Here is a 27937-nt window from a genome sequence, read left to right on the forward strand (position 1 = left end):
TTTTTCCTCCACAACTTTTATGTCTATTTTAGAAGTATTAAAATACCAGCAGTCTTTTCATACATGCTGCAGAATCATTTTGAATCCCAAGAAAGATCACAGATGAATAATTACTACAAGAGTTTTTTATTCAGATAAGTTAAACATAATATATGTATATGTGTACATAATGCACTGTGTTGCTCTACTCTTCGAAAAAATAGTTCTTTCTTGGAATACAATATTTGGAGGCCATAGAGCTTAAATAAATGTGGAAGAAAACTGAAGCAGGTACACGAGAAAAGAATAGGGGGAAAACACTGAGGGCAGAAAATTTAATCTGTCATGAGAGGCAGAAACAACTGGAATCATAGACATATGCTGTAGACTTTCACCATCCAGTGTGGTGGCCACTAGCTGTACATGGCTGTTGAGTACTTGACATATGGTTGATCAGATTGAGAAGTGCTATAAGTGTAAAATACATAATGATTTTTGAAGAAATAGTACAAAAAAGCAAAATATCTCAGTAATTTAAAAATACTGAATACATGTTAAAAATGATTTACATTTGTCTTTATTAACTTTAATTACTTTCAGATACTTTTTTATACATTGGGAACATTTAGGTCTTGATATAAAGTATGAAATAGTAAGCATCCACATATGATTAGATATATTAGATATTCCCACCCCCCATGTTTTCCTGGAGTAAGTACCTTTCTTTGATAGGCTAGAAAGTAAATAGACTTATTCTGGTGGGCAACTCACTTCTGATAAATTTCAGCAGCTAGGACATTCCTGTTATTTTTAAAAGAATGACATTTGAATAGTTGGGACATAATGATTATTTCTCGTTTCAGATCATGTAGCATGGATATGCCAGATCAGTCACTAAGTGGGTAGATATTTGAACAGATTTCTCTAAATCTGACTTGGCTCTTCATTGATAAATTCTACTAGTGTAGAGTTTTCTGACACTACAGTGAAAGGTAGCAGATCCATCTTTTAATATATTTAAATAGGAGAAAGGAGGACAACATTTTACTTTTGTCGTGTTAATGAAAGATCCTAACAGACTTTATTTCCTTAAGTAAATAAATTCTTTCAGATGAATTATTACCATCTAAAATAATCTAAGAAAAGTAAATTATACACCTAGTAAAATAGCGTTATCAGTATTTTGGTTTTCTGTATACTTCTTGGAATTATAGGAGGAATGTAGATGATATTTTTCCCTTACAGCTTGACTGTGTAAGTTATTTTTATGCTGGCCGTAGAATATATATTACATGACCAGAAATGAAGATTCCATTACATTACTTAGTACAAATTGAAAACAATTAGAAAATGTATGCTTTATTCTTATCTCTTTTATAAACAAGTATTTTAATACATTATTATGGCAAGGAGTGTAGTGGTACTTCCTTTGTGTACTTGTGTCAGTGGAGCTAAAACATCTTGTCAATTTTCTATTAAATTATCCTTTGATTTGAGATATGGCACAGATACCTGTTTCCTTCCACAAGACAGAAAAATTAGATTCCAAGATAATTAAGATTTGCCCAAAACCCAAAGAAAAGTAATTGGAACTAAAACTAGAATTCTGTTTTTGGGACAATTGGCCATTTGTAGCAAAGGACAGCAGATCATTGGTTAAGAGCATAAACTTGAGCCAGATTGCCTGATTCAAATTCCGGCCCATTTAGTTCCTAAGCATGTAACTGTGTTAAACATCTTGACTTTTGTGGCTCACTTATTGATAAATGGGTATAATAATACTATTTACTTTAGAGGATTAAAGAAGTTAATATATGTAAAGCATTTAGAACAGTGAATGGCATATAATGTAATATATTAATATATTAATATTAATAAGACTAATATTAGGATTAATGTTTTGTTGGTATTAATAAAATAAATATATGCTATACTTATCAAAGATATATAAAGATGAAAGTATAAAACACTAGAGTAAAACATGGTTTTATAGTTTTATAATCTTGAAATGAAGAAACCTCTACTAAGTATGATTTAAAAATCTGTCAAGCATAAAAAAAGAATTTTACTACATAATCAAGAAACTATAGCAAAAGATACCATGAACAAAGTGAAAACATAACAGTAACCTGGGGGAAATACTTACAGCACATAACATTAGGCTAATTTTCTACTGTGTGAGAACAGCTAGAAATCATTAAGGAAATCGCAATGCTACAGAAAAAGCAAACAGCAGAGAAAGACACCCAAATGAGAGTCTCAGCATCATTCAAAGTTAACTACTGTAAACTAAAGTGTTTCTCACTTTTCAGATTGGCAGAGATTAATATATAGTCAGTATTGGGACAATGAGGCAATATGAAGCATTATTGATGGGAGGTATAAATTGATAGACCTTTTAAGAGATATTTGCCAATAATGTCAATTTTAAAAACATAAACCTTTTGAACTTCCAGTTTGACTTCTAGAAATTTGTCTTATAGCTTCATCATAAAAGTTGACCTCATAAATATAGATTAGTTCAACCCCAAGATATTCATCAATGGAGATTTGGTGAATAATGTTATATCTCTACAATAAAGTACTATATGTAAATTTTTAAAAGAATAATGAGGATTTATATATGCTAATACTTAAGGATATTCAGCATATATTAAGTAAAAGCAAGTTGCGGAACTGTAATATCCTTTTTGTGTGTTTAAAAAATCAAGTAAATTATATACATGCTTACATATGCATTACATAGATACATGGATATACAGAGGATGCATAAGCATTAACTGTAACTATATCTGGGAAATAGGATATAAGCTACTAGGCAGAGATTTTTAATTCATACTCTTTATTGTTTGAATTTTTTCTACAGTGGGTATATTGTTACTTTTCTAGTTAGGAAAAATAAAAACTGAGAAAAAAGTTTTAGCTGTGTGCAGTGGCTCATGCCTATAATCCCAGCATTTTGGGAGGTTGAGGGAGGAGAGTCACTTGACTCTAGGAGTTTAAGACCAGCCTGGGCACACAGTGAGACCCTGTCTCTACAAGAAAATAAATTTAGAAACATTGGCTGGGCCGTGGTGTATGGGAGACCAGCCTGGGCAACACAGTGAGAGCCTGTCTCTGTAAAAAATAAATAAGTAAAAATTAGCTGGTCACCATGGTGCACGCCTGTGGTCCCAGCTGCTCGGGAGGCTGAGGTGAGAAGATTGCTTGAGCCCAGGAGAACAAGGCTGTAGTGAACCATGATCATGCCATCGCGCTCTATAGCCATCACACTCTATAGAGCCTGGGGTCAGAGCGAGACCCTGTCTCAAAGTTTAAACTTCTTCCAGGATGGGTATATTAGTTACTGATAGCTGCATAACAAAATACCCCCTAAGCTTAACAACTTGTAAAACAACAACTATTTATTTCACAGTTTCTCAGGAAGATAAACTTGGGAGCAGCCTAGCTAGGTGGTTCTGGCTCAGGGTCTCTCATGAGATAACCTGTTGGCTGGGCTATAGTTATCTCAAGATTCTACTGAGTTTGGAGGATCTGCCTGAAAGCTCAGTCGTGGTTGTTGGCAGATCTTAGTTTCTCTTTGGCTGTTGGCCAGAGAGTTAAGTTCCTCCTTGCATGGGCTTCTTCATAGGGCTGTTCACGGCTTGGCAGGTTAGCTTCTTTCAGACTGGGGTATCTGAGAGAAAGAGAGCCAGAGCTCAAGACTGGGCTAACATGGAAGTGACATATCATCACCTTTGCCGTATGCTACTGTTCATACAGACCAGTCCTGGTACATTGTGAGGGAGGACTACAAGGGTGTGAATAACAGGAGGTGGGGATCATTGGGGGCCATGTTGGAGGCAGGCTACCATAATGGGTCTATAACAGTGTATACCTTTTGTAATAAGTTGGGATTATGGAAAAGAAAGTTAATTGCTTCAATATTTAAATGGGGGCTATTTTTAAAAATTAGTTATCTCTTTACAAATACCTGTAAATACTTGCTTTTTCAGGTCCAGCCCAGAATCAAATGCAGGTTCCATCTGGATATGGATTGCATCATCAAAACTATATTGCTCCCTCAGGACATTACTCTCAAGGACCTGGGAAAATGACCTCATTGCCATTGGATACCCAGTGTGGTGATTACTACTCTGCTCTCTATACAGTACCAACACAAAATGTGACTCCTAACACAGTGAACCAGCAACCAGGAGCACAGCAGTTGTACAGCAGGGGTCCTCCTGCCCCTCATATTGTGGGATCCACTCTAGGATCTTTCCAAGGTGCTGCATCGTCAGCATCCCATTTGCATACGAGTGCCTCCCAACCATACTCCTCTTTTGTGAATCACTACAATAGTCCAGCCATGTACTCTGCCAGCTCTTCTGTTGCGTCTCAGGGATTTCCCTCTACTTGTGGTCATTATGCTATGTCAACTGTTTCTAATGCCGCGTATCCTAGTGTTTCATATCCCTCTCTGCCTGCTGGTGATACATATGGGCAAATGTTTACCTCACAGAATGCTCCGACTGTTAGGCCAGTTAAAGATAATTCATTCTCTGGTCAAAATACAGCTATCAGCCATCCATCGCCACTTCCACCTCTACCATCACAACAGCACCACCAGCAGCAAAGTCTTTCAGGATACAGTACTCTAACGTGGTCATCTCCAGGCCTTCCATCGACTCAAGACAATCTCATCCGAAACCACACAGGATCCCTGGCTGTAGCGAACAACAACCCAACCATTACTGGTAGGTTGAATGAAAAGTTCACCAAAACATGTTTGAAAATCAGTGCATTCCCAATTAAGTTATTATTTACATGAAGGTTAGAGGTGATATTGCCTAATAGAAAAACTGGAAGTTTGCTAATTTATTGTGGCTTTTTGTAGCACCTCTTTGAACCCTTTCTTCTCATCCATTCCCAATTAGCCACCCAACCATCTGCCTTGTCTAGCTTGGTTCCTTGCCATGATCAGTCAACATTTATTGATATATTTTATACATCTGCAATAGTTGTCTTTAATGTGAATTAGATACAGGGCAAAATGGAAGGGTCTGTTTTGAGGATATGTTGGCCACTATTTTCTCTTTTATACTAGTTCAACCTTGGGACAGTTGTTTTTTTAGCCAGAGCCCCACTTACTTAGAAAAAAGGATGGTTTGCAGCAGTGCACTGGTTTCCCCAAGTTAGCCCCTATTAGTGACTTTTGCAGAAGACATCTTTCCTGCACGTAAACAGTGTTTCTCATTTTCAGATTAGTAAGTTAGGCTGAAAGATGGGGAAGGGAAAGGAAGATGCATGAAGAATACCCTGGTATTCAGCCCTTCTGACCTTCCTAAACCAAGGTGTTGTTAAATTTTTTCATTTAAAAATTATGTATGTAAGACGTGGCTTGCCCTTTTTTTTTTTTTTTGACACAGGGTCTCACTTTATCACCCAGGCTGGGCATGATCTCAGCTCACGGCAGCCTTGACCTCCTGGGCTCAAGCGATCCTCCCATCTCAGCCCCACAAGTAGCTGGGACTACCAGGCATACGCCACCACACCCAGCTAATTTTGTAGAGATGGGGTTTTGCCATGTTGCCCAAGCTGGTCTCGAACACGCGAGCTACTGTGCCTGGCCCAATGTGGCTTTTTAAGTGCAGTGTTTCCTTTCCCTAGGATATATTCATTTTAATTCAATTTGTGACTTGAATTTAACAGAATCTGCTTTTGAACCGAATGAAAATGCATGTAAAAAATGGGAATTGGTAAAGCTGTGGTAACTTTTGGAATGATGCCTTTAGATTGTGTATCATTATCTGGATAGCCATGTGTCAAAGATGCTGTGGAAAGATATCCTTCTCTGGACAATGAGATTATTTAAAATTAGAACTTTAATATTAGACCCAAGCTGTACATTTGAGATCATCTACTCTTTCATTGCTATGTCGTTTAGAAATGCTTTCAGATACAAGCAGCTAATAGTAGTTTAAACAAAAAGGGGGTATTTTCCTCACATCACAAGTCTAGGTGGATGCAGTGGATCCCGCTGTTCTTGGTATCCTTTTTTCTCTTTCCACTCTGCCACCTGCAGCATGTAGGTTATAGAAACAAGATACTTCTGTACCTATAGACATTAAGTCAGAATTAAAAGCACCAAGAAGGGAGAGGAAAGGGGACTGGTTAGTGGCATTGACAGACTTCATTTTACAGATCATTTGCCATAGCTGTTTAAAAGACCATTCCTAGCTTCAGGGAAGGCTGGAAAATGAATATTGAATCTTTTTTTTAGCATCCATAGTAGAGGCGAACAAGAAAAAAGGGAGTTAGCACTGACTTGGGTGAGTCAACTCAAAGTGTCTGTCACAGTTCCGAAATCTGGCTGTCTACCAGAATCACTGGCACAGATTGTGATATTCAACTACAAATTACTGAGCTAGAATAGAATCTCCAGGGTACTCTTGAGAATCTATTTCTAACTGGATCTTCAGTGATGCTGTGAAACACATCTAAATTTTACTGTAGTCCTTTTGTTTTACAAATGAAGAAAGTTATCCAAGTTGAATTGCCTGTGGTCATTAATGGTAGAAACAGAGCTTGGCCTAGAGGTCAGTTTCTTCTGTCTCCCTCAGAACCAGGGCTTTCTGTCCTCTAGAAATTGTTTTCCTCTCTCTTCTTTCAACATTCTATTTACAGATCCACTTATCCTAAAGTCCTTCCAACTTAAGGATTTTGTGACTTTCATGACAAAGGAAATACAAGTAATTCCTATCTTAGTTCTGAGGTGGAAATAGCACCCTGGATGGAACTAATTTATATTGAGATGTGTCAGGGAAATATGGGGTCACTTGGCTAATGAACAGAACATGTAATTGGGAAAGGCCTGTCATTAAGAAAAGATTAAATAAAGGGGGAGAATAATTACAAAACTATTCTCTGTTTGAGTAACTGCTCTAATGGGTCCTGTAGGCAGAGAGGCAGGATATATTTTCATTCTTTTAATCTTAGTACTGTACTGTGGATGCCATAATGAATATATTTTAGAATTTAATTTGTGTTCAGAAGTGGGTTTTTTTCCCCTGCATTTAGATTGGTAAATTACTTTTTAATTGAAGTTCAGAGGTTGACAAATTAAATATTATCTCAGGTTAATATGACAAACGTGCTTCATTTCAAAAAAAAAGAGGTTATTTTAAAAATCTACTTTAAAATTAAATATTGCCAAAGTTCCCAAACTTTCTCAGTTGATACGTTTCAATATTTTTCAAGTGCCCCATGTAACTTAGTAGTAGTTCGTAAGGTATCTGACACATATCACTGTTTTTCTTAACGATTTAAAATATTCCTTGGAAACCTGTGAATTTGTTGCAGTGCCTTGGGGAGCCTAGGTAAAAGTACCTTGTACTAGGTACAGGGTAAGGGAATACTGAGTTTAATGTTCTAGAAAGTCTGGCAACATAATTGCTTTCAATACTCAAATTATATTTTCACATTAAAATGAAAATCTTAAGTATTAAACATAGTTTTGTGTTTTGTTTTGTTTTGTTTTTGAGATGGAGTCTCGCTCTGTCACCCAGGCTGGAGTGCAGTGGCGCCATCTCAGCTCACTGCAAGCTCCGCCTTCCAGGTTCATGCCGTTCTCCTGCCTCAGCCTGCCGAGTAGCTGGGACTAGCGGCACCCGCCACCACACCTGGCTAATTTTTTATATTTTTAGTAGAGACAGGGTTTCACCATGTTGGCCAGGATGGTCTTGATCTCCTGACCTTGTGATCCGCCCGCCTTGGCCTCCCAAAGTGCTGGGATTACAGGCGTGAGCCACTGCACCCGGCCAATAGTTTTGTGTTAAATTCAACCTTTGAATAATTGACAAAAATGATTACCTTCTTTACTACTTGATTATACTATCTTCATTTCAGATATACTAAAAGTCCTCAGTCATTTTATAGAGTTGGAGATGCAAAAGTATAAACCTGAGTTAAGCAAATATCAAAAATATGACAGATGGATACATACTGTTATTTTTAGGCAGCTAATGAATTCATATTCAAAACATAGACTAAAGGGGACCTTTAAATATTATCTCATTTGCTTTATTTTAGAAAAGCCTATTAGTACATTATAATTCAGTACTAGAACTTCAATTATTTTATTAAAAAGTCCACTCCAGCCGGGCGCGGTGGCTCACGCCTGTAATCCCAGCACTTTGGGAGGCCGAGGCGGGCGGATCACGAGGTCAGGAGATCGAGACCATCCTGGCTAACACGGTGAAACCCCGTCTCTACTAAAAATACAAAAAATTAGCCGGGCGTGGTAGCGGGCGCCTGTAGTCCCAGCTACTCGGGAGGCTGAGGCAGGAGAATGGCGTGAACCCGGGAGGCGGAGCTTGCAGTGAGCCGAGATCGCGCCACTGCACTCCAGCCTGGGCGACAGAGCGAGACTCCGTCTCAAAAAAAAAAAAAAAAAAAAAAGTCCGCTCCAAGTATGTATGTTTTGAGTGTTACATTAGTTGTTAAAGTTGGTTGCACTTTTGGCTAGTGTTTAAAAGGTGTCATTTCGTTAGGCCATTTAAAAATTTTAAAACTGTCACTGTAGTTGAATCTCTAGTATAGTCAAGTAACCTAGTATAGAATTGTAATAGATAATAAGTACAGAAGCTCTTTTTTAGTTTGAGGTGAAGTTGCCTGAGTGTGACTTGGGGATGTAAAGATGCCCATTTTTGACAGCAAGATGAGTACCAAAACTGTAGATTCATTTAAAATAATTTTCTTAATTTGTCTTTAGTATCCCTTTGTTTTACAAAGCACATACTTTTAAAAATTAGCAAGATAAGTCTTGTTGCCAAGATGTAGAATTTTGCCAGAAAAATTATTTTGATTAAAATTAATTATTTTGAAAATTTCTTGCTTAATAAGGACCACATCTTGATAGCGTATTATAAAACAGTAGTGCCTGATTAATGCTGTTTTCTGATGCACAGTTTTATATAAAAGCATTTAAAAAGCTACTTGAGTAAAAATAATAAGTGTTTATATAATTCTTCACAGTTGATCTTAGCCAAAAGGCCGAGAAGCGGTATATAATTCTTAAATAAAAGTCCACTACACGCATGACACTAAGATATAGTCACTGATAAGTTAATACTGTATCTGTCATCTCTGGTTGGTAATGTGCCTGAGGAAAAGCAAAAGCAAATACCTTGTAGGACATGATTATTTGGACATAGAAATATAAGTAAGAAATAAATTAGACAACCACATTGGAAAAATAAAATGCTCATACAAAATACAAGTAGTGCAGTACAAGAGACTATTTTTAGTTTTGGAAACTTGTGTGATTGTAGAGTTATGGGAATAGCGTAATTTTACTCCCTCACATACTTATTCCTTCAGTTTTTCTAAAGATACTCTTGAACCTTTTTTCATCTTTTTTCAACTTTGTGCCCACTACTTGTAAATTTTTCTACATGTTCTCCCTCTCCAAGCTGAGAAGACGAGATGTTCATCTTTGTGTTCACTTACTTCAGATTCTGGCTTTAGCTGTTATCCCCTCTCCAGAGTATCAGCCTCAATTTCTGCTGGACTGTGGCATTTGGATAGGTGAGAGGAATTAATGAAAGAAAAACATACTCCTTGTCCTATATGTAATCAGCAGCCATTAAAAGTTTATAAGCAAGGTGTTGGCACTATCAGATTTGTGTTTCAGAACTTTCTTCTGTGAACAGTGTAGTAGATAACTGGAGGAGGAAGAACCTAGATCAGGAAAACGAGCTGGAAAGGAATTATTACAATTATCTAGGTGAAGGATGATAACTTGGGCTGGATTTATTTATGCAGAAGACATGATAGAGATGACTTCAAGGATTTGTTGATGTAGTTTATGAAGGAAAAAGAAGAATACAAGATGACTTAAAATTTCTAGCTTGAACAACTTGAATGGGTAGTGGTACTAATCGCTCCTAGTTTCTAAAGAATTTTTTGCACAATTACTTAAGATAGGGCTTACTTTTACAGGATATATGAATAAAGGAGTATTCTTTTCAGAGGCCATCTACATACCTAATCATATGTGTTATGCATGAAGAAGTGAATTCTAAGTAACTAACAGGGAACTAAGGAGCTACTAAGAACTAAAGGCCCGGCATGTTGGCTCAGCCTGTAATTGCAGCGCTTTGGGAGGCTGAGGCAGAAGGATCACTTGAGCCCAGGAGTAAAAGTAAAAAATTAACTGAGGAACTGCCATAATTATCAAAAAAAAAGAAAATATTTATTCTTGAATCATGATTTCCTTCTCTTAGAAATCACACCTCAGAAACTAAACAGTGCAGCAGTGCATTTCGCGTAGTCCAGTTTTATGTGTTGTTTGTTTTGTCAAATTCCCTTTGTGAAAGGAGCAGCTTCTTGATTGGTGTGCCTCCCTGGTCCTTAATGTTAGTAGACCTTGTCTCCATTCATCCAACAAATACGTGAAAGCTAACTATGTTCCATGAGTTGTTCTAATGTTGGGAGATAAAATAGTGAGTAAAAACACTTAGTGCTATCCTCATAAAGTTTGCAATTCACTTAGAGAAGCAAGTATTATCCAGATAAACACAAATGAATGTAAAATTCCTATTATTATTTAAGCAACATGAAGCAACCGTATATGGTACTTCGGAGCATTACTTTAGGTGCATTTAGCCTATTAGTCATGAAGCCTAGAGAAGTCTTCCCTAAGAAAGTAATACTTCAGCTGTAATCTGAAGGATAAAGTCTCCATGTATAAAATTAATTGCAGGTGAAGTAAATGTGTAAATGCAAAAAGGCAAAACTTTAAAACTTCTCAGAGAAAATCTCTATCTCTAGAACCTTGGAGTAGGGAAGGAATTTTTAAGGACAATGCACATAATGCTAGCCACAAAGGGTAAACATGATAAACGCAACTCATTTCTAATTTAAAACTTTTCCTTATTGAAAGACAACATGAAAAAAAGAAAAACATAAGCTGCGAACTGGGAAAAAATGTATATGCTTACAGTATTTACCCAGAATATACAAGTGCTGCATAGAAATTAATAAGGAAAAGACCAACAACCAAAAGAAAAATACTTGAATAGGCATTGCACAGAAGATGAAATGAAAACATAATCTCATTAATAAACAGTGAAAAGCAAATTAAAACTAGAATGGGATATCATCTTATACCTACTAACAGATGGGTAAAAATTAGAAAGTCTAACAATACCAAGGAATGGTCAGGATGTGGAGTAACAGGAAACTCTTAGACACTCTTGGTAGGAGGCTATATTCATTCATATTTTAGGAAAATTTGGCATTAGTAGATTGAAAATAACCACATCCCACAACACAGCTATCTGTCTTCCATATACTCTAGAGAAGTTCTCCTCAAACTATACATCTGTGTCACCTGGGATCCTGTTTAAAATGTAGGTTCTAATTCACCAGGTCTTTTATGGCTTGGCCTAAGATTCTACTTTCTAACAAACTTCCACATGAGGTGTTGCTAGTCTGTAGACTACACTTTGAGTATGAGGGCCATAAAGCACCACTTCTTTTAGATGGATGCCTCTATGGCAAATGATTTTTGTTTGAGATACTGGACAAAGAGACTAGTCTGCTTTCTAGGCCAAAGACCTCATTTCCTACAGAGCTGTCCCCAGGGCTGAGGGATTCGATATCCCTTGCTGCACACCTCCACATATTTGAGCTGTGGCACCTATGTATAGAAGCTCTGCCCTAGGGAAACTTGCACATCTATACCAGGGACAAGTGCATGAGTATTCATAGTTGCACTGTTTGTGAAAACAAAAAATTGGAAATAACCTAAAAGTCCATTAATAGCAGAATGAATAAATAAATTATATTCTTCCATTGGATTTCTGAATAGCAGTGAAAATGAAGTAGAGCTGCACTCATTAACATGACTGAATCCCAGGAATGTAGCACAGGAAATATGGAAGAATACCTGCAGTATGTTATTGTTATAAAGTTTATAAAAAGAGCAAAAATAATGTCTAGAGATACTTATATGTGTGGTAAACTATTTGAAAACAAAAGCAAAAGAATAATAAACATGATTCAGGAGGGGGCAGGGGAATGCCTTCTGTGAGGAGCATATTGAGAGCTTCAACAATATTGGAAATGTTTTATTTTCAAAATTGGATGCTGAGTTCATGGGTATTTATTTTATTATGCATATATATGTATATATACACATACATACATGTGTATCAATACATACATGTACGTACACATATACCTGATATGATTTCATTTTATGGTTTTGAGACAGGGTCTCCCGCTTTCACCCAGGCTGGAGTGCAGTGGCAAGATCTTGGCTCACTGCAACCTCCTCCTCCTGGGCTCAAGCCATCCTCCCACCTCAGCCTCACCAGTGGCTGAGGACCACAGATGCGCACCACCATGCCCGACTAATTTTTGTATTTTTCAGTAGAGATAGGGTTTTGCCGTGTTGCCCAGGCTGGTCTCAAACTCCTGGGCTCAAGCAATCTGCCCACCTTGGCCTCCTAAACTGCTGGGATTATAGGTATGAGCAACCACACCCGACCCTAATTTTAGACAATTATATCTTTCTCAGTTTTTACTTGGATACTGTTAAATATTCTTAATCACTGTTTTATGTTGGCAGTTTTAGTGATAATGTCAGTTATCTATTGCTGGTTTAAAATAACAATGATTTATTATTTTTCTTGGTTCTGTGGGTTTGCTGGGTAGTTCTGCAGGTTTTTCTTGAATTCACTCATGTGAATTCATTTTGCTGGAGGTTTGCGGGACTAGAAGATTCTAAGATGGCTTCACTCACATGTCTAGCAGTTGGTGCAGACTCTTCACTAGGGTTCCTATGTTTTTCTGTACGTGGCTAGACCAGCTTCCCTGCATGATGATCCATGCAGCATTTCAGAGTGGAAAGGTGTAAGCTGCAGTGTCCCTCGAGACTTGAGGTCTGGGACTTGTACACTTTTATTTCTGCCACATACTGTTGATTAAAGCCAGTCACAGGGTTTGCTCTGATTCAAAGGGTGGTAAAATAGACTCCATATTGATGAAAGGAACTGTAAAATATTGTGATGATGTTTTTAATCTTCCACAATGATAGTTTGTCTTCCTACTAAAAATGATGAAACAGTCAGCATATTTAGACTACCTTCTTTCCCCATTCCTCATATGTGCTTATGTTGTTTTTACACTGTTAGGACATATAACACATTTTGTTTTGTCACCATATTCCTATTTGTTTCAGTCTCAGAACTAAGGTTGTTTACATATATACACACACACTATACATAGACACACATACATACATGTGCAGGTATATATATGTAGATTTATTCAGTATATCGTGACTGCTCACCAGTAGTCTTTTGCCATAGGTTTTTCAGTTATCTCTTGGTTGGATAATCTTGAAGATTACCTTCAATAACTTACCCAGTATTTCTCAACCGGGAACGATTTTGCCTTCTAGGAGACATTTGGTATTTTGAGCTATCACAAAGACCAATGATGAGTCATGCACTTTATTCCAGAAGTTCAACCTCGTATTATGGTTAGGCTCTTACTTAGTTACATGTGAAATAAGGCATCTGGTTAGAAACAGCAAATGAGAAGTAGCAGTTTACAGTGCAAAATGAGATCTGAACTGATACTAGAAGTGTTTATGGAATTCAGAGACCACATTATTGCAGAGTCAAAAACCTCTTACTCACCTCCTTACCTGAGTCACCATTGCATAGTACAATAATCTGTGCAATAATTAGTATTCATAGAGATCATTAGTAAATAAAAGCTTTTTGAGTTCACTTTGTTTAAGAAGGTAAGGAAGATTGCGAAATATTTTAGGAAAATTGTCATTAAAGTTTATTAAAATATTTGATGAGTAATTTTTCAGTTTTTAAAAAATCATTTGTACCACCTTTTCTAGATATACTAGGTAAATGTGATGCTATTGAAGTTTCTACAAGAACTTCAGATAAACTATTTTGTTAGTGATATATATTATTATATAATTATATTATATATTATATACATTATATATAGTATTGTATGTGGTACTATATTATATATTAATATATTTCAAGTTTCTGTGGATGAAATAGTTTCTTCTCTTCAGTTGCAGATTCTTTATCCTGTCCTGTTATGCAAAATGTTCAGCCTCCCAAGTCCAGCCCAGTGGTATCCACTGTTTTATCAGGATCCTCAGGATCCTCATCAACAAGAACACCTCCCACTGCAAATCACCCAGTTGAGCCTGTGACCTCAGTTACACAGCCATCAGAGCTATTACAACAAAAAGGTATTTGAGATATTTATTATTGTATATGCACACAGACACACATACGTATTTATAGAAGATATGAAAAAAAGTTACTTATAATCTCAATCCAAACACAACTTTTGGAATATTAACTTACAGTGTCTCATATATGTTTTACATAATTACATACCATTTTGTATTTTGCTTTTCTTTTTATTACACATAGTTCTTCATATATATTGAGTCTTTATTGCTCTTTTTATGGCTAATTATTCATTGTGTCAATGTATAATGGTTATTTCATTCCTCTGTCATGGGACATTTATTTCCTATTTTTTAAAGGTTATTATAGTTTCTTTTAGGATAGAGAAGCCAAAACTTTATTATTTAGTGACTCTCCATATCCTATTTGATTATTTCTGTGCTTTTTGTTATTGATAACAGAAAGTAAGCTTTGACAGAATTTTGCAAATGAAAGGGGGTGAAAATGAAATTGTAACCCATACTCTTGCGTCATTGAAGAACTATATGATTTATTGTTTGTTTAATATTCTCCATGTGTTAAGTAAGTAAAAGGTAATAAAATGTGTTGTTTTGACCCTGCTTCCCCACATTGTTTCTTTTGGCAGTTTTTGTTTTTGTTTTTGTTTTTCCTGTCTGGCTAAAATTCCAAAGTATTGATGTTTCAGGTTAATATATGGCATTTTTTATTTGATCAGAGATGATTGAACTGTTTTCAAGAATCTGTAGTTTGTATTTCCAGAGCAACCATTGTATTATTTTAGGGACTGTACTCACTATGTAATGACAGCTCCTAACGTTGAGTGTGAAGAACCTTCTTATAGGTCTGAAACTGAGAAAAGGAAAAAAGCATGATAAATTCCTAGGGTGATCTCATTGCTTGTATCTGTTGAGTGTCTATGTGATCAACAGAGACCTTTCTGTCAATTGATCAGATGATACATTACACATTTTCTTACTTGGTTTTTTAGGAAAAGTAACTGCAGCACCAAAGAGTGCCTGTTGATTCTCAACAAACCAGTGGGTATACTGGAAACTGAATTTAGTTCTTAAAAGTATTTGCCTTCAAAGTGAAGGTCCAGTAGAAGTTTTGTTTATCACAAATCAAAAAAGCTTTTAGGATAGATCAAAGCCCTAACTAAATGAATGGTGTCTTTTCTTGTTTTTCCTCTACATTGATGACTGCCTTCCATTTCTTAAATGTTTCGCTTTTTTTGGCCTATTACATTGCCCCTGCTGCTTATTTCTTCCTATTGTTTTTTTTTTTTTTTTGGAGTTGGGAGTCTTGCTCTGTCACCCGGGGTTGAGTGCAGTGGCATGATCTTGGCTCACTGCAGCCTCTGCCTCCTGGGTTCCAGCGATTCTCCTGTCTCAGCCTCCTGGGTAGCTGGGATTACAGGCGCACGCCACCTCGCCCTGCTAATTTTTGTATTTTTGGTGGAGATGGGGTTTTACCATGTTGACCAATCTGGCCTCGAACTTTTGACCTCAGGTGATCCGCCCACCTTGGCCTCCCAAAGTGCTGGGATTACAGGCGTGAGCCACCACGCCCAGCCCCTATCATATTTTCTTTTTTACCATCTTACTATAAATACCATCCTATCATCTTTTTATAAATAATATTTTGTAAATGGTTTGCCCACTAAACAATTGCAATTATGTTTCTTCTTTTTTCTATTAAAATATATTTTGAAAGTAGAAGAAGCTGCCATTTATTGAGCACATACAATATATCAGATACTTTATATCTCATTAATTCACATATTAATCTTATGACATAGATATTCTTCCTTTTTTACAGATGAGAAAAGTGAGATTGACAGAGGTTAGGTAACTTGCCCAAGACTACAAGTTAATAAGTAGCAAAGCAAAAGATTTTTTAACTCAGATCTCTCTATCTTGTATTCTTTCTATAAAATAAAGCTGAATTTTTGTTGTCATTGGCTGTTGACAAACTAACTCTTGGTTTACCTAAGATAAGTTTCTTGCTTAAGTAACAGAAAATATCATACTGGGGACATCTGAATTGTAGTTTTTATTGTTCCTTTTTCATAAGTAGGAGAATGGCCTCTTAGTGACTTCTTTGTCTTTGGAGAGATCTGAGCTATACAACCTAATTGAGTCAGGGCTACCACATATGGTGGTGCGAATTGTCATTTGCATGAATGGAGCTTCTTCGAATTGTGCAGTGTATCATCTGCATAGGGTTTACTGTGGGCCTGATATGAACTACTAAAGTGATTATACTTAAAAAGAGATTAGCTTTTTTCTTCCAAATTCAAAGACACCGTTGCTTAGTTGTTCTCCCAAGACTAAGCATTTTTTTTCTGTTTTTAGGGGAGACATCAAATTTTTGTTTGGGTAGCCCCTAAAATTTTTTTTATAAACTACCTACTTGAACATTTTTTAGATTGATATCTAAAATTTTTCATCAAAAATTTAAATACTTGTAGTTATGCAGTTTTTAACATATATGCTGGCTGACTTTTAAAACTGAGATGTTACATTATTCTTTCAAATGTACCCTTTGGAATGATACCTACCATCGTCCTTTTGCAAAACACACAAATACCCCTTCTTTAACATTTGGGAAGTTTACATTTTTCATTTTTCTATTTGATGGCATATCCCCTTTCCTTAATGTAATAATAAAATATATGCTTACACTAGAAACTCTTTTATCACTCTATTGTGCTTTTCCATGACCATAATATATAAAATGAAATGTTAAAATTTGTTTTATTATCTATGACTTTAAGTCTCTAAATAGTATATTTTCTTTTGAATGAAGCCATCAATCATTACAACTTTTTCTCTCTCTCTTTTTTTTTTTTTTTTGAGACAGACTCACTCTGTCACCCAGGCTGGAGTGCAGTGGCATGATCTTGGGTCACTGCAGCCTCTGCCTCCCAGATGCAAGCGATTCTCATGTCTCAGCCTCCTGAGTAGCTGGGATTACATGCATGTGCCAACATGCCCAGCTAATTTTTGTATTTTTAGTAGAGACGGGGTTTCACCATGTTGACCAGGCTGGTCTCAAACTCCTGGCCTCAAGTGATCTGCCTGCCTAGGCCTCCCAAAGTGTTAGGATTACAGGCGTGACCATTGTGCCTGGCCAATCACTACAGCTTTTATTGTTGGTATAAAATTGGTCAAAACAACATAAACATCATGAATTTTGGTATTTATGTGAAGTACGTTTTTATTGGAAATACATCTTTCAGTGAAATGAATGGGCTGTCTCCTCTCCCCACTATAGTTTTGTATCTGAGTTGAATATGATTCATTGTTAGAATATGATAATGTTCAGATAAATTTCATTCTTAGTTTTTATTTTCATACATATAATTGCTGAGAAACATTGTTCACATAAAGTAGATTAGAATTACTTGTAAGAATTCTGCTAAAGCAGTATCATTCTGTTTTGCTTTATTTTGCTTTTACTCTTTTTAACCTTCTGAGTTACATGTCAGAAATTATTGTTTGTTAGATTTTATTTTCCAGGTGGTAGTTGTTAACATTATTATTTCATATAACAGTTTGTAATTTGCAAATCCCTTTAACTTTTTCTATCTGTCTTACTTTCTCATCACATGGAACAAGCATATCATATGTTTTCTTCCTTTTGTAAGTGAGGAAATTTAAATTTAGAAAGGTTACATGTCTTACCTTAAGACCTACAGAGTTGGCCGGGCGCAGTGGCTCACGCCTGTAATCCCAGCACTTTGGGAGGCCGAGGCGGGCGGATCACGAGGTCAGGAGATCGAGACCATCCCGGCTAAAACGGTGAAACCCCGTCTCTACTAAAAATACAAAAAATTAGCCGGGCGTAGTGGCGGGCGCCTGTAGTCCCAGCTACTTGGGAGGCTGAGGCAGGAGAATGGCGTGAACCCGGGAGGTGGAGCTTGCAGTGAGCCGAGATCCCGCCACTGCACTCCAGCCTGGGCGACAGAGCGAGACTCCGTCTCAAATAAAAAAAAAAAAAAAAAAAAAAAAAGACCTACAGAGTTGGAAGGAGAGGTACCCAGGCCCATTGCACACCTTTTGCCTTCAAACTCAGTACTTGTTTTACTCTATCAGCAGTTATTCAAAATATTTTGAATTTCCTTCTACCATGGCCAATATAGCTTACCATACTTTTTATTATTTTTATTTATTTATTTATTTTGAGACAGGGTCTTGTTTTGTTGCCTAGGCTGGAGTGCAGTAGCTCAGCTCACTGCAGCCTCGACCCTTGAGACCACTGGGGCTCAAGCGATATTCCCACCTCAGCCTCCTGAGTAGCTAAGGCCACAGGCACACACTGCCACATCTGACTAATTTTTTAAAAAATTATTTGTAGAGATGAGGTCTTACAGTGTTGCCCAGGCTGGTCTTGAACTCCCAGGCTCGAGTGATTATCCCACCTTGGCCTCCCAAGGTGCTCAGATTACAGGTGTGAGCCACTGTGCCTGGCTACCATACCCTGTAAGTGTGTTTTTATCAAAAACAAGCTATGATACAGGCCATTTATTTTATGGATGATATCTCCATATGACCTAATTGGCAAAAGCAGTCCTCAAAACTTATCAAAGCATATACTACTAAGTACTAACAGATTCACTTGTTGGTAAATATTTTTTTGTTAAAAGGATGTAGAAAGTGTTAAATATTTTATAAAATATAAAAATTAAGAATTGACTATATTTTATCATGAAAAGGTTGTAAAATATTTTATTGCACATGTCACATTGACTGAAATCACAGAATTTTTATCTTGAGTTTTAGTGAGTATGTTTTAAAAACACTTGGTAGTCCTAGAAAATACTCCATTTGTTTTTAAAATAATTACAACTGGGCATGGTGGCTCACGCCTGTAATACCAGCACTTTGGGAGGCAAAGGTGGGTGGATCATTTGAGGTCAGGACTTCGAGACCAGTCTGGCCAACATGGTGAAACCTCATCTCTACCAAAAATGTAAAAAAAAATTAGCTGGGCGTGATGGCACAGGCCTGTAATCCCAGCTACTCAGGAGGCTGAGGCAGGAGAATCACTTGAACCGGGGAGGCAGAGGTTGCAGTGAGCTGAGATCATGCCACTGCACTCCAGCCTGGGTGACAGAGTGAGACTCTGTCTTAAAAAAAAAAAAAAAATTAATAAAATAAAATAATTAGCAGGACTGAGTGTTGGTGGGTGGTTCTTTTTTTTCTAATGATGTGCCCTGAAAAGAACAGCTGAAAATAATTTTAATTGAATATACCCAAAAACATGTTTTTAAAGTTAGTGATATAGCTCACATTTATTTTGTATTTAGTATGTGTCATGCACCATTCTAAGCATTTGAAATATATTAACTCATTTAATCCTTACCACAACCATTTGAAGTATTACCCTATTTTATAGATAATGTAAGTGAAGAACAGAGGTTAGTAACTTGCTCAAGGACATACCAGTAGTTAAGTGATAGAACCTGGAGTTGAACCCAGAGTCCTCTTCTTTATCCATAATGTTACGCTCCTTCTCTGTTCAGTATTTCCTACTGTGTACTGTATAATAAGAGACTGGCATACATTACAGCAGTGTGTCATAGTAAAAATTAGGATAAACTAAGGTCATGTGTTTCCTTTGTAAAATAAAAGAAAGGCTGTCATTAACACGGGCACTTTTTTAGGTGGGTAAGTTTGAGGAAAGAGTACTTACAGGAATCGACATCTGAAAATTGATTTCCTTAAAACCATTCTTTTGTGGGGACCCTTGAAAAGTCTTCTAGTGTGTACACCTAGTTTCCAGTTTAGGAAAGAGAGCAGTTACTCAAAAGTCTGAACTCCTGAATTTAAAAAAGCTAATCTCCACAAGAGATTTGTTCTCTTAAGATTAGTTTGATTTATTCGTGGTATAGCTGTATCTAGGGAACACTGAAGAATATTAAGCAGCACCAAGGATATGTTCTCCTGGAAAGATTTGCCTGAGGGTACTTTAATGGTTGGTTATTTAAACTAAATGTCCTTTCGAAAATATTGGGGCCCTTTGAATAACAGAGTGCTGCATCATGTTAGATTCTATAAAGTGTTTCATGTTTCTTGGTTGAGTAGATTTATACCTTGGAAGCTCTGGTTAAGATAGAATAAATTATGATATAACATTCCTTCTCCATTCGGTGGTGGTGGTGGTAGAGGTAGCTACTCCATGTACATACATTTCTACAGTGGGTTTCAGGCTGAGCTCTGGGAAAGGATGTCATATTTTACCACCTTATATATTTGATCTGTGTATCTCATACATAGATTTTGGCTCTTAAAGAGAATCTGAATTAGAGGCACTTCAGGAAGCATTCACATATCCTAGAATAGATGACTTGGCTATCAACCCCTTGCCGGCTGTAGCTCCCCATTTGTTGTAGTCTGTATGTGCTATACCCAACCTAGAGCAGGGCGCCATGCCTGGCTAATTTTTTTTTTTTACTTTTTACAGAGATGGGGTCTCACTATGTTGCCCAGGCTGGTCTTGAACTCCTGGCTTCAAGTGATACTCCTGCCTGAGCCTCCCAAAGTGCTGGGATTATAGACATGAGCAATTGTACTTGGCTCAAATTTTTGTTTTAATTGGGCTTTTTGTCAGAAGAATGTGCCACTCTGAATTTGTTTTTGATATTGTTTCTTGTATTACTTGAACCTATTTTACATTTATTTTTATTTTCTCATGAAGTGCTGGGATTATAGACATGAGCAATTGTGCTTGGCTCAAATATTCGTTTTAATTGGGCTTTTTGTCAGAAGAATGTGCCACTCTGAATTTGTTTTTGGTATTAAGTTTGTTTCTTGCATTACCTGAACCTATTTTACATTGATTTTATTTTATTTTATTTACATCGATTTTTATTTTATTGATTTTTATTTTATTTACATTGATTTGAATTTGGGATACTGCTATTTTACCGATATTAAAAGATGTTTCAGCAAAGCTAGCAGATTTTTCCATGACTTTTTTTAGTCATTGTTGAAAGATCAAAGCTTCATTCATCTACAGTTTAACCTTTGCTTCTAAACTAAAATTTTATTCTTAATAGTTTTTTTCTTACTCTAGTGATGAGTTGTTTATCCATGCTAATCAAGTATGCTAGTCACCTGAAAAAAAAATAAAGAGAGCATTAAAGCACTATCGTGTGATTTTGGTGAGGCAGGGCTTCATTGTACCCCAATATTAGGAAATGTTCTTAAAAATCCCCACTATGTTTCTGGCTTTCTTTTTTCTTTTTTTTTCAAAGTAGAGCCATGAGATTTTCCATACAAGGATGTTTATTCTTATTTAAGAAGTGTTTTCATTTTCTTTTTTCCTTTTCTTTTTCTTTTTCTGAGATGGAGTCTTGCTCTGTCACCAGGCTGGAGTGCAATGGCACAATCTCTGCTCACTGCAACCTCTGCCTCCCAGCAGAGGCGATTCTCCTGCCCCAGCCTCCCAAGTAGCTGGGACTACAGGCGTGCGCCACCACGCCCAGCTAATTTTTGTATTTTTAGTAGAGACAGGGTTTCACCATGTTGGCCAGGATGGTCTCGATCTCTTAACCTTGTGATCCTCCCACCTTGGCCTCCCAAAGTGCTGGGATTACAGGCGTGAGCCACCATGCCCGGCCTTCATTTTCAATTAAGATAATTTTTATTTTTCCTCTTAAAAACGGTATATATGTTAATTTTTAAAGTCCTCATTCTATCAGATCAAATAATAGAAATACCCAATTACATTTTTTTAAGGGAATTAGTAAACAGTTACCAATACCAGTTTATTGTGCCCTTTTCTACAGAATCTGCCTTCTGTTGGTATATTTCACACAGGACCAGTCTTATTCACCTGTTTCGGACTCACATGTAGGCAATAGGATGACACTGACATGACTGGCTGTCTCAGAAAATTCAGTTTTCTGTAATTCTCACACTTGTAGGGTCACAGATAATAAGTCCCCCAGCCCCCCGTCCCCCACTCCCAGAGTATCTACTGTTAGCAGAGAACTATGCCGAATACAGTTTTTTTCTTTAACTGTGATTCTTCTTCTGTTATGGGAACTGAGTTTACCATCAAGGTAACATTAGCAGAAGGAAGGGGTACCACGTATGTGTTTTGTATGCTGTACAAAATCAGTTCACTATAAATGATCACTGCCCACCAAAAATGCACAATCCCAAAGGAAATATACCACAGGGCCATAAGGTCAAAGGAGATAAACATGTATAGAGCTCAGTAAACTTTTCAGACAATATTATTGCAGCTTCCTAAATACTAACTGTTTTGGACAATACATGATAGATACCTTTTCACACTTAAGCCAGTCCATATTAAAGCTGCTTTTACTAAACTGCTTTGCAGAGATTTTCTAATGGTTCTAGTTTTGATAATGAATTTGCTAATATTAATATGCATGTTGGGATGTTCTTTGGAATGTCAGAGTTCTTTCTCACTTTTAATGCAATGTCAAATTTTTATTTCTCATCTTTCCTGTTGGTTTGACTCTTATGTTTGTGCTTTCCACTTTACAGGCGTGCAGTATGGTGAATATGTTAATAACCAAGCTAGCTCCGCACCAACTCCCTTGTCATCAACTTCCGATGATGAGGAAGAGGAGGAGGAGGATGAGGAAGCAGGTCTGCTTTAGCTTTACACCAGTTCTTGATCTTTTCCTGCTCAAGTTTTCTTTTTGTTTCCACAGTCTTACTTAGCCTTTTAAAAAAGAGTCTTTGAAGATTTAGCATGATGAACTTACGAGGTTTGCATTATAGAAGATGTGTCACATAAAATAAGGTGTTTGTTTTGTTTTTCCTCCTTTAGGCATCTTTGCCATATTGTAAATAATAGAATCAGAATTCCTCTTTCATGACAGTAGAGTGCATTCTTCTTTCAGAAATGCATTTTCTCCCATGTCACATGCAAAATAATGAGTACTGACTGAAGCTTTTGGCTGATGATTGCTCTAGCATCGTTTTAGGAATAATGCTTCATTTTCTGCTTTGCCTGCTACTTTAGTCTAATCAAAATAAGCCATGTGGATTTTATAATAGGGATAGAGAAATAGGACAGTGTTTCAGTGAGGTCCTTTTGGCTTTTCTTGTCATGTATTTAGAAGGCCCAGAATTTGTAGTTATTTTCCTGCTTCATGAAATAGTACATATCTTGCTAGCTGAAGAAGTTGTGCATATGGTTATGTGTTGCAAACTGTTTAATATCTTTTTCTGCCTTTGATAGGTAGAACACTGCTAAAAAATTAAGCAGTTCAGTTCCTCCATTAATTCTAATACAGGTTGAATATCCCTTATCTGAAATGCTTGGGGCCAGAGTGTTTCAAATTTCATATTTTTTCAGATTTCAGAATATTTGCTGCATATACATAGTGAGATAGTTTGAGGATGGGACTCAAGTCTAAATACTAAATTCATTTATGTTTCATATACACCTATACACATAAACTAAAGATAATTTTGTACTATATATATTTTTTTATTTTGCTTTGTTTTTTATTTTTGAGACAGGATCTCACTGTGTCACCCAGGCTGGAGTGCAGTGACACAATCATGGCTCCTGCCAACCTTCGCCTCCCAGGCTCAAGCCATCCTCCTGTCTCAACTCCCACATAGCTGAGACTACAGGCCACCCTGCACAGTTAATGTTTGTATTTTTTGTAGAGATGGGGTTTCGCCATGTTGCCCAAGCTGGTCTTGAACTCCTGCACTCAGGGAATCCGCCCACCTCAACCTCCCAAAGTGCTGGGATTACAGGCATGAGCTACCTTGCCAGGCTTGTACTATATATATATATATATATATATATATATATATATATATATATACACACACACACACACACACACACATATTATACATATGTTTTTTATATATGTATTTATATATATGTATTTATGTATTTATATATATATATATATGTATGTATATATATATATTTTTTTGAGATGGAGTCTTGCTCTGTTGCCCAGGCTGGAGTGCAGTGGAGCGATCTCGGCTCACTGCAAGCTGCACCTTCCGGGTTCACACCATTCTCCTGCCTTAGCCTCCCGAGTAGCTGGGACTACAGGCACCCGCCACCACGCCTGGCTAATTTTTTGTGTTTTTAGTAGAGATGGGGTTTCACTGTGTTAGCCAGGATGGTCTTGATCTCCTGACCTCATGATCCGCCTGCCTTGGCCTCCCAAAGTGCTGGGATTACAGGTGTGAGCCACAGTGCCCGGCCTTGTGCAATATTTTTAATAATTTTGTACATGATACAGAGTTTTGCCTGTGACTTGTCATATGAGGTCAGGTGTGGAATTTTCCACTTGTGGTGTCATGTCAGCCCTCATAAAATTTTGGATTTTGAAGCATTTAAGATTTTGGATTTTCACATTAGGGACTCTCAACCTATAGTTTAAGACTGAACCAATAACTGATGATCTTTCAAGTTATTATATGTGACCACAATTCTCCTGTTCTAAATGTGAAGATCTGTTCTGCAAACAATCATTTTAACCAAAAATTTCTATTTCCTGTGCATTTAAAAATATTTAAATCATTATATGCGACTCGGGATAAAAATTGGGGGTGACAGGTGGGAAATAATTTTTCTTACTCTAAATACGTAAGTACCCATCTATGTTTCTGAAATTTTTTTTGTAATTTTAAATTTTAACAAAATTTCAAACTCACAGAAGTTAAAAGAAACCCGCATGTACGCTTTACCCAGATAAACCATTTTTGCCACATTTGCTTTATAATTCTCTATCAACATATTTTTGCTATACCATTTGCAAGTAAATTGGAGACATCATGAACTTTACCCCTAATACTTTATGTTTCCTAATCATAAGGTCAGTGTCTTAAATAACCAAAATACAGTTATCAAGAAATAGAGCATTGATGCAATAATATCTGATAACACTGTTCATTGTCAAATATCAGTTGTCTGAAGTAGATCAGCTATAAAGCTGTTTTCATGGTCCAGGATCCAATTTGGATCATGCGTTGAATTTAGTTGTCATGTTAGACTCCTTTAGTCTCCAACAGTTCATTAGCCTCTTTCCTTGCCTTTACATTTTCAAAGAGTACAGACCAGTTATTTTGTAAAATGTTCCCCAGTGTGGGTTTATCTGAGGTTTCCTCATGATTAGATTCAGACCATGCATTTTTCGGAGGATTACCACTAAAACAATGTTGTGTTCTCAGTGCATCCTATTTGAGGCACATGATGTCAATTTGTTCTCATATTGATGAGGTTAACTTTTATTATTTGAATAAGGTGGTATCTGCCAGGTTTCTCCACTATAAAGTTACTGTTTTTCCCTGTTAAAATTAATAAGTCATTTGTGAGGAGTTTCTTTGAGACTATTTAAATGTTGTGTTCTCCAAAAAAAGAAAAAAAAGAGAGAGAGATCAGAAAGATTTGGTGGCTAGGTGCAGTGGCTCACGCCTGTAATCCCAGCACTTTGGAAGTCCAAGGCAGGCGGATCACCTGGGGTCAGGAGTTTGAGAACAGCCTGGCCAACATGGTGAAACTCTGTCTCTACTAAAAATAACAAAAATTAGCCAGGTGTGGTGGCGCACACCCATAGTCCCAGCTACTCTGGACGCTGAGGCAGGAGAATTGCTTGAACCTGGGAGGCAGAGGTTGCAGTGAGCCGAGATCACGCCACTGCCCTGCAGCCTGGGTGGCAGAGTGAGACTCTGTCTCAAAAAAAAAAAAAAAAAAAAGATTTAGCATTTATGGCTTTTTTCTAATGTCTTGTTTATTATTTTTCTTGAGTATATTATAGATTTAAAATTCCTGAGTTTTTATGGCATTTGGATTTTAATAATACCTAACATTTTTAGCACTTACTGAATGCCAGTCGTAGCAATACAGAGCTAGTATGTCTCCCTTGGTTTTTGTGTCAGTTTTTCTAGACTCACATCCCGACTTTTCACTTTCTAGCTTTGTGATAATGATAGTAACAATTACATATAGTTGTTTTAAGGATTGAAGATACTGTTTGTAAAGAGCTTAGAACAGTGTGTGGCAAATCGTAAACACTCAGAAAGATTAGCTGTCATTACCAGCATTGAGATTGTGTTATTGTCTGTTCTTCTCAACAATTCTGCAAGGCAGAAATAATCAACTCTATTTTACAGATGAATTAACTGCAGCCTGAACATATTAAGTAACATTTGTCTGTGGTCACACAGCTGCTCAGTAGGCAGAATAGAGATTCAAACTGAGGTCTTTCTGCAGAAAAGTATGAAAAAGAAGGTGTCTTCCTATCTAGTGAGAGAACATAAACGGCCAGAGTAGGTGGGAGTAAAGGGCACATGACGGTAGTCACTACAGTGTTAAACGTACATGTTATCTTACTCCTGTGTTTTTTTCTACTCCACAAAATAAGACTATATTATTGACATTTTTACTATAATCTTAGTGTTCTCTATTAATGGTTTTTTAAAATAATATCTTTGTTGGTTGCAAATTAAAGAAACATTCTCAGTGGTGGGATGGGAAGAAAGTCTAGCTTTAAATGGAATTTTATTTTTTAAACCTTGCCCAGTTACAATAATTTATTTCATATGTACAGAGGTAAAAAGAAAGTGGCTGAAATTGGTGTGGGAATTACATGTAAGTGTCTAATAAAGTAGCGATTTGGAGTGCTCTACTTCTTAAGCATTTCAGTGGCATTTATTCCCTTTATTTGTGAGATTTTTGTGTGTTTAGTTTATGTGGGATTGTTCTCCAACTTTGAAAAAAATTTACTGAACAGTGATGAAAAATCAACCAGCAGGGTGGAGAATCAGAAGTTACTGGGTTAGCAGTGTTAAGTGTTGAGGAAAGTTTGGCTGAAAGCTGAGGAAAAAAAAACAATTGGAAAATCTATCAGGAGGTATCTGTCTTGTTTTGTTTTTTCCCCCTCTGTAGCACTGTTTGGAGATAGAGGGAAGAGAGAACACGAAGAACATTTCCTGAGTCTCTTGCTAATATCTGTTATACCTGTGATATCTGTGAAGTTGTAATAGTAGCTCTGTGGAGTAGGTGTTATTATGAAATCTGTTGTTACTAATGAGGAGCAGCTCAGAGATGTCAGGTGTCCATTTTCCCTCAACTGTTAGGGAGTGGACATGGAGTTTGAGTTATAGCCTTTTCATGTTTTGTGCAGGTTATGAGGAAATCTCAAATTATCTGGCTAATTTCAAGTTTAGCAATACTAGTAAGTATATTGCCTTTGTTGACCCATATTGCTTGTCTTTTAGAGACAGAAAACAGCTTAAGCCTTTTTTTAAAGGCTTAATTGCTTTCTGATACTCTTCTCTAGCTTCAAGGATTCTGAGCTATTCTTCTGATCTGTTCTCCTCGTTACTTCTTTAGATTTCAGCTCCCTCTCTTTTTCTCTTTCCTTTTTTCTTCTTTCAAGCTGTAACATAGAGCCAGTAGAAGAATGAGAGAAAATTATTTCCAAGTACTGCATTTCATACTTGACCCCCATTTGATCTCAGAATACTTATTATCAGTAATTGTAGTGTGAAGTGACTGAGGCAAATCGATGCTATCCAAGGATTAAGCATGGGACAAGTACCAAAGCCATTGATTCAGTGGAAACCAGCTTGTATGCTGAAAGCAGTATTTTGCTTGGTATCAGGATTCCAAAGATCAATATATTAGCATAGCTCTGGCCATCAAATACGTATAATATGATAGGGAAACAGATACCATATGATTAC

At 36.8% G+C, this 27937-nt stretch overlaps 1 protein-coding gene across 18 annotated transcripts in view; it reads left to right on the plus strand.

The window, feature by feature from the left end:
- The window catches only part of SEC24B (SEC24 homolog B, COPII component), a 107082-nt gene that overhangs the window by 25112 nt on the left and 54033 nt on the right, over positions 1-27937 (plus strand). For 7 of the 18 annotated variants that reach the window (NM_001300813.3, NM_006323.5, NM_001318085.2 and 4 more), the window contains 3 exons: positions 3975-4718; positions 14078-14260; positions 22751-22855. In NM_001300813.3, coding sequence (NP_001287742.1) covers positions 3975-4718; positions 14078-14260; positions 22751-22855 — 1032 coding nt within the window. The remainder of the gene's footprint in view (positions 1-3974; positions 4719-14077; positions 14261-22750; positions 22856-27937) is intronic. The other 11 variants (NM_001042734.4, NM_001318086.2, XM_047449514.1 and 8 more) reach the window with 2 other exon arrangements.

This window comes from Homo sapiens, chromosome 4, assembly GCF_000001405.40.
Source record: "Homo sapiens chromosome 4, GRCh38.p14 Primary Assembly".
In the NCBI taxonomy this organism is placed as follows: Eukaryota; Metazoa; Chordata; class Mammalia; order Primates; family Hominidae; genus Homo; species Homo sapiens.